This window comes from Homo sapiens, chromosome 10, assembly GCF_000001405.40.
Source record: "Homo sapiens chromosome 10, GRCh38.p14 Primary Assembly".
Lineage (NCBI taxonomy): Eukaryota > Metazoa > Chordata > Mammalia > Primates > Hominidae > Homo > Homo sapiens.
Window position 1 is genome coordinate 103,249,605 of NC_000010.11, and position 10,460 is coordinate 103,260,064.

The 10,460-nt window shown below is 45.0% G+C and overlaps 1 annotated feature.

Annotated features, from left to right (window-relative positions):
* Nucleotides 5,152–5,651: an enhancer, noted in NCBI's record as "H3K4me1 hESC enhancer chr10:105014513-105015012 (GRCh37/hg19 assembly coordinates)". NCBI's record gives its function as "activates a minimal SCP1, AML or CMV promoter by ChIP-STARR-seq in primed H9 embryonic stem cells {active_cell/tissue: H9 hESC(primed)}" and the evidence as "EXISTENCE:reporter gene assay evidence [ECO:0000049][PMID:30033119]".

A 10,460-nucleotide genomic window follows, 5' to 3' on the forward strand; every position in this document is an offset into this window, starting at 1 on the left:
TCTTGCCCAGGCTGGAGTGCAGTGGCGCAATCACAGCTCACTATAGCCTCTACCTCCCGGGCTCAAGTGATTCTCCCACCTCAGCCTCCAAAGTAGCTGGGACTACAGGTGCACGCTACCATACCCAGGTAATTTTTGTATTTGTTTTATTTTGTAGAGATGGGGTTTCACCATGTTGCCCAGGCTAAAAATAAATTTATTTGAGTAATAGAAACTATGGATTACTAAACATTCATTACAGAACATTAAGCATTTGTGAGTCCACTTCTGGGCTCTGAGAAGAAGTAATGAGGAAAGCAAATAGAATCAAGTGATAAGAAAATCGTGTATCCACAGTGGGTGGGAAGGGGGCATGGTGCTGTTCAACAGAAAGCTAGCATACATGGCAGTGGGGGCGTGTGGGGGGCTGGTTACAGAGCTGGTGCTCTCTGAAGGATCAGGCCCCTTCTATTCACGTTAGGATTCCTGTTTTCCTCCACGCTGGTTCTGATGTAAAAAAACAAAAACAAAACAAAACAAAAAAACGCAAAAGAAATCATGACAGAACATAGGATGCTGTGACTTCTCAGAAGCTCAGTCTTTAATTCATGGAACCAGCGCGACCTGAAACAACCTGCATCACCAACCCTGGGGCACAAATCAGGTCACATCTCTTCCATTGTTCTTTTCTTTTGTCTCTCTCTCTTTCTCTTTTTTGAGATGGGATCTCGCTCTGTCACCCAGGCTAGAGTGCAGAGGCATGATCAGAGCTCACTGCAGCCTTGACTTCCTGTGCTCAAGTGATCCTCTCACCTCAGCTTCCCAAGTAGCTGAGACTATGGCTTGCACTACCACACACGGCCCTTCTACTTTTCAAAACAAAACCACCTTGACCACCCATGTGCCAGGTTAGCAGAAAGTCCAATATCCCTTCTCCTCCTCTTGAGCTGTCCAACATCCCTGGTGTTTACTCCATCCAAGGGGCCAGCTTTGTTTCCAAGTGCTTGAAGGACAGAGAACTGAAGACACATTTCCACTCATCAGAGAATCTGTTTTGGGGAACCACTGCTGCCGTCATTGCCACATGTGTGGCTGATGAACACCCTGTCTGCACAGCCTGACATGCCCCTTCCCCTGCTGCAGGGACCCTGCTGCTCTGGATGTCTGTGATGTTCAATGCTAGGCTCCTAAGGTCACCCTCACATGCTTGGCCATTTTTCCTGGGGTTAGGTGGCAATGACTGGGTCAGAAGGTTTCCAGCCTCAGCATATGTTGTGCCAGAACTCCCTGCCACTCCACTACCACCACCACTACCACCACCATCACCACCACCATCACCACCTCCACCACCATCACCACCACCACCATCACCACCACCACCACCATCACCACCACCACCATCACCACCTCCACCACCATCACCACCACCACCATCACCACCACCACCACCACCATCACCACCACCACCACCATCACCACCTCCACCACGATCACCACCACCACCATCACCACCTCCACCACCATCACCACCTCCACTACCACCACCACCACCTCCACCACCACCATCACCACCACCATCACCACCACCACCATCACCACCACCACCTCCACCACCTCCACTGCCATCACCACCTCCACCGCCATCACCACCTCCACCACCATCACCATCTCCACCATCACCACCTCAACTTCTTCCATCATGACCACCACCACCACCACCATCACCACCACCTCTACCGCCATTCACCACCACCACCTCCACCGCCATCACCACCTTCACCTCTACCCCCACCACAACCACTATGTGCTCACACTTGTCACCAGGGCTAACTCTTCCCAGTGGATTCTCTTAGCCCACTGTCCTGCCAGTGAATCTTATTCAACACCATCTCAATCCATCTGATAAGTTCTAAGAGCAGGAACTCTCAAAAGAGAAGTGATATAGTCTCAATCCTCATCTCCACAGGAGACGCCATGGCTTTTATTTTGCCCAAATTTCCTTACCCCTTGCCCTTTTATTTACCATCATCAGGCTGCAAAAAGCATTCCATTTCATAATCTGCCCTATGGCAGTGGGTGCCTCCTTGCCTTCTGCTGATATAACTAAGGATGGATGGCAGGGACTCAGGTGTCTTAACACTGGACACAAAATCTGTGGCAAGTGGTCTTGCCTCCACTTACAGAAGTGACAGACACCTTTAAAGATCCACCCAATCAGGCCCCTGAGACATTTAATCTTGGCTTTCAGATTGGTTTGTTTTGTGTTTGTAATGAGCTGTGATTGTGCCATTGTACTCCACCCTCTGTCACCCAGGCTGGAGTGCAATGGCACAATCACAGCTCACTGCAGCCTCAAACTCTTGGGCTCAAGTGATCTTCCCACTTCAGCCTTCCAAGTAACTAGGACTACAGCCATGTGCCATCAAGCCTGGCTAATTTTCTGTAGGAACAAGGTCTCACTGTGTGGCCCAGGCTGGTCTTGAACTCCTGGGCTCAAGTGATCTGCCCACCTTGGCCTCCCAATATGTTGGGATTACAGGCGTGAGCCATTGTGCCTGGACTTTAATTTCTTTCAGTGAAATTTTACAGTTTTCAATTTATAGGTTTTTTCTACAACTATTTTTCTTTTTTTGGAGATGGAATCTCGCTGTTGTCGTCCAGGCTGGAATGCAATGGTGCGATCTTGGCTAACTTCAACCTTCGCCTCCCAGGTTTAAGCAATTCTCCTGTCTCAGCTTCCCAAATGGCTGGGATTACAGGCGCCCACCTAATTTTTGTATTTTTAGTAGAGATGGGGTTTCACCATGTTGGCCAGGCTGGTCTCAAACTCTTGACCTCAGGTGATCTGCCCACCTTGGCCTCCCAAAGTGCTGGGATTACAGACGTGAGCCACCGCACCCAGCCCATTGCCTGATTTTTTTTTAATTATTTATTTATTTATTTATTTTAAGAGTATTGGTTAAGTTGGCCGGGCGCAGTGGCTCACGCCTGTAATCCCAACGCTTTGGGAGGCAGAGGTGAGCGAATCACCTGAGGTCAGGAGTTCAAGAACAGCCTGGCCAACATGGTGAAACCCCATCTCTACTAAAAATACAAAAATTAGCCAGGCATAGTGGTGGGCACCTGTAATCCCAGCTACTCGGGAGGCTGAGGCAGGAGAATGCCTTGAACCTGGGAGGTGGAGGTTGCAGTGAGCTGAGATCATGCCTCTACACTCCAGCCTGGGCAACAAGAGAGAAACTCCATCTCAGAAAAAAGAAAAAAAAAAAAGAGTATTGGTTAAGTATTTTGTTGGATAGTCTTCAATTTGAGTTTGTCTGACATTTTCTCATGATTAAATTGAAGTTAAGCATATTAGGAAGAATACTAATTTTTTTTTTTTTTTTTTTTTTTTTTTGAGACAGATTCTTGTTCTGTCACCCAGGCTGGAGTATAGTGGCACAATCTCAGCTCACTGCAACCTCTGCTCCTGGGTTCAAGCAATTCTCCTGCCCCAGCCTCCCAAGTAGCTGGGACTACAGGCATGCACCATGACATCCAGCTAATTTTTATATTTTTGGTAAAGATGGGGTTTCGCCATGTTGGCCAAGCTGGTCTTGAACTCCTGACCTCAAGTGATCTGCCCACCTTGGCCTCCCGAAGTGCTGGGATTATAGACATGAGCCACTGTGCCCAGCCTTTTTACTATATTTTGAGTTAATTTCTTAGTCATTGTCCTGGGAATTACAATTAACATCTTATTTAATAACAACTTAGTTTAGATAAATGCCAACTTAATTTCATTATTACACAAAAAATGTGCTCCTATATAGCTTTGGTTCCCTTTCTCCTTCTTTGTGCTATTATTGTCACACAAAATACATCTTAATACATTGTGTGCATTATCAATGCAGGTTTATAATTACTGCATTATGTACTTATCTTTTAAATAGGATAGGAAAAAATTAAACAAAATTAAACAAGAATACATTTATGCTACCTTTTATATTTACCTATGGAGTTACCTTTAATGGTTTATTTTATTTCTTCATGTAGATTCAAATTACTGTCTACTGTCATTTCAGTCTGAAAGACCTCCTCTAGGATTTCCTTTTTTGTTTTTTTGTTTTTGAGACAGAGTCTTGCTCTGTTGCCCAGTCTGGAGTGTAGTGGCGCAATCTCGGCTCACTATAACCTCTGCCTCCTAGGTTCAAGCAATTCTTATGCCTCGGCCTCCCAAGTAGCTGGGATTACAGGTGCGTGCCACTACGCCTGGCTAAGTTTTTTTTATTTTTAGTAGAGACGAGGTTTCACCATGTTGGCCAGGCTGATCTCAAATTCCTGACCTCAGATGATCCACCTGCCTCGGCCTCCCAAAGTGCTGAGATTACAGGGGTGAGCCACCGTGCCTGGCCTAGGATTTCTTATACGTCAGGTTTACTAGTGATGAAATCTTCCAGTCTTTATCTTAGAATGTTTTAATGTCTTCTTTCCCTCCTTCATTTTTGAAGAATAGTTTCGTTAGATAGAGAATTCTGGGGTGACAGGGGGTGTTTTTTTCTTTCAGCACTCTTAATATATGTCATCTTACTGCCTTTTGGCCTTTATGGTTTCTGATGAGAAATAGGATGTTAATCTTATCGAGCATCCATTGTACACGATGAGTCCTTCCTTCCTCCCTCCCTCCTTTTTTTCTTTTCTTTTCTTCCTTCCTTCCTTTTTCTTTCTTTCTTCTTTCCTTCCTTCCTTTTTCCTTCTTTCTTCCTTTCCTTCCTTTCTCTTTCTTTCTTTCTCTTTCTTTCTTCTCTTTCTCTCTTTCTCTTTCTTTCTTTTTTGTGAGACAGGGTCTCACTCTGTCACCCAGGCTGGAGTGCAGTGATCATGGCTCACTATAGCCTGGCCTCTCAGGCTCAATCAATCCTCCCACCTCAGCCTCTCGGGTAGCTGGGAATACAGACATGCACCACCATGCCCAGCTAATTTTTGTATTTTTTGTAGAGACAGGGCCTCACCATGTCTTGAACTGGTCTTGAACTCCTGGGCTGGTCTTGAACTCCTGGGCTCAAGCAATCTACCTGCCTCAGCCTCCCAAAGTGCTGGAATTACAGGCATGAATCACCACGCCCAGCCTACTTTTTTTTTTTTTTTTTTTTTTTTAAAGAAGCAAGGTCCCACTCTGCTACCCAGGCTTCAGTACAGTGGCATGATCATGCCTTGCTGCAGCCTCAAACTCCTGGGCTCAATCAATTCTTCTGCCTCAGCCTCCCAAGTAGCTAGGACTACAGGCACATGCCACTGAGTCTGGCTTTTTTTTTTTTTTTTTTTGGAGAGACAGGATCTCACTATGTATCTCAGGTTGATCTTGACCTCCTGGCCCCTCAGGTGATCCTCTTGCCTCAGTCTCCCAAACTGCTGCTGGATTACAGGCCACCATGCCCAGCTGCTTTCTTTTTTTAAATTTGAGATGGAGTCTCACTATATTACCCAAGCTAAAGTCGAACTCCTGGGCCCAAACTATCCTCCCACCTCAGCCTTCTGAGTAGCTGGGACTACAGGCATGCACACCACACCCAGCTTGTGATGAGTCACCATTGTCTTACTGATTTCAAGATTCGCTCTCCTGCCTTTGGCTTATAACAATTTGACTACGATGTGTCTTGGTGTGAATCTCTTTGAGTTTATTTTACTTGGATTTTATTGAGCTTTCCAGATGTATAGATCAATGTTTTAAATTAAATTTAGAAAGTTTTCAAGTTTTCAGCCATTATTTCTTTAAATATTCTTTCTGCTCCTTTTTTTCCTCTCCTCTCCTTCTGGAACTCCAGAAGTTCACTTAGGCTCTCTTCATATATCTTCATTCTTTTCTTTTTCTGTTCCTCAGACTTGATAATCTCAATTGATTTATTTTTAAATTCATTGATATTTTCTTCTGTCTGCTCTATCTTTTTTTTTTTTTTTAGATGGAATCTAGCTCTTTGCCTTAGCCTTTGCTTCATGCTTGTGAAGAGCCTGAAGATCAGCCAGAACACTTAGGGCATTCTCAGATCTTTCCTGAACATGTGCATAGGCCTCGGCATGCAAGTGGCTTTCCGGTTTCCCAGGGATATGTCAGTTTTTCAAAGTCCTTCTTCTCCAAAGCATCTCATTCTTCAGTCTTCTCTCCCAAGCTTTATATTAGTCTATTGTTTGCCCCAACTGTTATCCAATGCCCCAGGCAGCAATAACCAAAACATTTGCCTGTAAATATCTTCAACAAATGCTCCTTGGGTAGCCACACTCACCACTAGAGAGTTCCAAGTTAGACAAGATAAAGGTAAGCACTTGAGAAAGTCCTCCAGGGAGCCACCATACAGGTCAAAACAAAGATAAAGGTAAGCACTTGAGAAAGTCCTCCAGGGAGCCACCATACAGGTCAAAACAAAACAAAAACAATTTCTTGCGAATTAGGTCCATTCTCTTCCCTCTAGTACTGGTACCTATACTGGGACTGTAGCTATTTTCTCCAAATTCACTGCTAACCTGGGGATGGGACCAGGGTAAGTTAAAATACTACAAAGCTTGCTATTCTTACTAAGAATCAGCTGTCTTTTTTATGAAAACATTTCACTGGCTGCTGCAGGCCTTTTGGTTAGTGTCTAGAGTTCTGAAAAGTTGATTCTAACAGTTTTTTTGTTTTTTGTTTGTTTGTTTGTTTGTTTAGATGGAGTCTCGCTCTGTCGCCAGGCTGGAGTGCAGTGGCACGATCTGGGCTCACTGCAACCTCTGCCTCTCAGGTTCAAGTGATTCTTCTGCCTCAGTCTCCCGAGCAGCTGGGACTAGAGGCATGTGCCACCATGCGTGGCTAATTTTTGTATTTTTAGTAGAGACAGGGTTTCACCATGTTGGCCAGGATGGTCTCGATCTCTTGACCTCGTGATCAGCCCGCCTCGGCCTCCCAAAGTGCTGGGATTACAGGCGTGAGCCACCGTGCCCAGCCAATTCTAACAGTTTTAACCAACCTTTTGGTTGCATTTATGGAGGGATAAACTTTTGGATTTCCTTACTCTGCCATTTTTCACTGATAACACTTCAGTATTCCTTATTACTGGTAATGTTAACTTTGATCACTCAGTTAAGGTAGTGTCTGCCAAGTTTCTTCACTGCAGAGTTACTATTTTTTCTTTTTCATATGCTATTCTAGAGGTCAGCAAACCATGGCTGGAGGCCCAAATCCAGCCCACTGCCTGTTTTTATAAATAAAGTTTTATTGGCATACAGCCACATTCATTCATTCACATATTTTTTATGGCTGCTTTCATGCTACATCAGTAGGGGTGAGTTGTTGCAAAAGAGATCATATGGCTTAAACAGCCTAATATATTTCCTATTTGGGTCTACGCTGACCCCTGCATGATTTGTTAGAAGTGCACCACTAAATCAGCCCACACTTAAGGGAAGGAGAATTAAGCTTTCCATTGTGGAGGGAGGGGTATCAAAACATTTGGGGACATATGTTAAAAACAAGATAATTAATGCATATTTGGAGGTTTATACTTAGATGCTATGTAAATATCCTGGTCCTCCTTAGAGTTTTGCCCACTAATATTAGCTTCATCAGTGGACTTTATCTGCAGCAATTATTACTGTGGTGTTCTAATTTTCTGTTTCCTTCATTCCCATTTTTTTTTTTTTTTTTTTTTTTTTTTTTGGAGACAAAGTCTCACTCTGTCACCCAGGCTAGAGTGCAGTGGCATGACCTCTGCTCACCTCAGCCTCCACTTCCTGGGTTGAAGCGATTCTCCTGCCTCAGCCTCCTGAGTAGCTGGGATTACAGGTGTCTGCCACAATGCCCAGCTATTTTTTTTGTTTGTTTTTTAAGGACAGAGTCTCACTCTGTCACCCAGGCTGGAGTGCAGTGACGCCATCTCAGCTCACTGCAACCTCTGCCTCCCGGGTTCAAGCAATTCTCCTGGCTCAGCCTCCTGAGTAGCTGGGATTACAGGTGGCCACCATCACGCCTGGCTAACTTTTGTATTTTTAGTAGAGACGGGGTTTCACCATATTGGCCAGATTGGTCTCAAACTCCTGACCTCAGGTCATCCTCTGGCTTCGGCCTCCCAAAGTGCTGGGATTACAGGAGTGAGCCACCGCGCCTGGCATATAGTTTTAAAGAAGATTTTAAATAGCCTTATAAACTGGGAAAAGAAACCCATAGTTCAGGAGTTGAGGCACTTTCTCTTGGTGTAGAGACAACTGGTGCAATGGAGAACACAGTACAAGGTCTTGAGTTAGAAACCTAAATTTATGACCTTGGGCAAGTCCCTTGACCTCTCTCCCTTTTTTACTTTTATCCACAGAATAAAAATATCAATGGTCACCTCACAGGATTCTTGTGAAAATGTTGTTTATATTAGGAAGTAGGATGTAAATGCTAGATTCTTTGGTAATGCACATCCTTTACTCTCACTTTCTTCTTCACTTTCTTTCCTTCCCACTTTCCTTCTTTTTTTCTGGTCCTACCTTTTTTCTCCTCTGTCTGTGTTTTGGGCCCACCAGGGGCCCCCTATAGCACTACAAGTGAAACCAGTGGGGTCTAAGTCATAACACTTCTTATAAAGAAGGATTGCACCAGGACCAGCCCACATAGCCAAATTCCTTTTTCTGTTGTCCCCAGAAAGCCACGTTAAGGACTCCCTTGCTGTTCTAAGCAGACTGCTTCTTTCACACATTTCCTCCCACCACCCAATGAAGGGCAGGGGCTGTGCTTTACATATTACATCTTTGTAACCCCCTCCCCTCCCTTACTGCACAAGGCTTTCCAAATAGTCTTTAGATGTCAACCTTGGATGCAGATTTTAACACACACATATTCTGCATTTTTTTTTTTTTTTTGAGACGGAGTTTCGGTCTTGTTGCCCAGGCTGGAGTGCAATGGCGTGATCTCGGCTCACTGCAACCTCTGCCTCCTGGGTTCAAGTGATTCTCCTGCCTCAGCCTCCCAAGTAGCCGGGATTACAGGCATGTGCCACCACGCCTGGCTAATTCTGTTTTTTTTTTTTAGTAGAGACAGGGTTTCACCATGTTGGCCAGGCTGGTCTCAAACTCCCGACCTCAGGTGATCTGCCTGCCTCGGCCTCCCAAAGTGCTGGGATTACAGGCATGAGCCACCATGCCTGGCCCATATTCTGCATTTTAATACACATTCTACATGTTGCCAGTAGATATTTGATATGGCTTGGCTCTGCCCCCACCCAAATCTCATCTTGAATTCCCACATGTTATGGGAGGAACATGGTGGGAGGTGATTGAATCATGGGGGTGGGTCTTTCTTGTGCTGTTCTGATGATAATGAGTAAGTCTCACAAGATCTGATGGTTTTAAAAAATGGGAGTTTCCCTGAACAAGCTCTCCACTCTTGTCTGCTGCCATGTGAGACATGCCTTTTACCTTCCGCCATGATTGTGAGGCCTCCCCACCCATGTGAAACTGTAAGTCCAATAAACCTCTTTCTTTAGTAAATTGTCCAGTCTCGGGTATGTCTTTATCAGCAGTGTGAAAATGGACTAATACAGTAAATTGGTACCGAGAGTGGGGTGCTACTGAAAAGATACCCGAAAATGTGGAAGCAACTTTGGAACTGGGTAACAGGCAGAGGTTGGAATAATTTGGAGGGCTCAGAAGAAGACAGGAAAATGTGGGAAAGTTTGGAACTCCCTAGAGACTTGTTGAATGGCTTTGACCAATATGCTGATAATGATATGGACAATGAAATCCAGGCTGAGATGGTCTCAGATGGAGATGAGGAAGTTATTGGGAACTAGAGCAAAGGTGACTCTTGTTATGTTTTAGCAAAGAGACTGGTGGCATTTTGCCCCTGCCCTGGAGATTTGTGGAACTTTGAACTTGAGAAAGGTGATTTAGGGTTTCTGGCAGAAGAAATTTCTAAGCAGCAAAGCATTCAAGAGGTGACTTGGGTGTTGTTAAAAGCATTCAGTTTTAAAAGGGAAACAGAGCATAAAAGTTTGCAAAATTTGTAGTCTGACAAGCAATAAAGAAGAAAAACCCATTTTCTGAGGAGCAATTCAAGCCAGCTGCAGAAATTTGCTTAAGTAATAAGGAGCCTAATATTAATCTCTGACAGTGGGAAAAATGTCTCCAGGGCAGGTCAGAGGTCCTCACAGCAGACCCCCCACCCCCAATCACAGGCCTGGAGGTTTAGGAGAAAAAAAATAGTTTAGTGGGCCAGGCCCAGGGTCCCTCTGATGTGTGCAGTCTAGGGACTTTGTGCCCTGCAACCCAGCTGCTGCAGCTGTGACTAAAAGGGGCCAAGTTGCAGCTCAGGTTGTTGCTTTAGAGGGTGGAAGCCCCAAGCCCTGGCAGCTTCTACGTGGTGTTGAGCCTGCAGGTGAACAGAAGTCAAGAATTGAGGTTTGGGAACCTCTGCCTAGATTTCAGAAAATGTATGGAAATGTCTGAATGCCCAGGCAGAAGTTTGCTGCAGGGGCGGGGCCCTCATGGAGAAC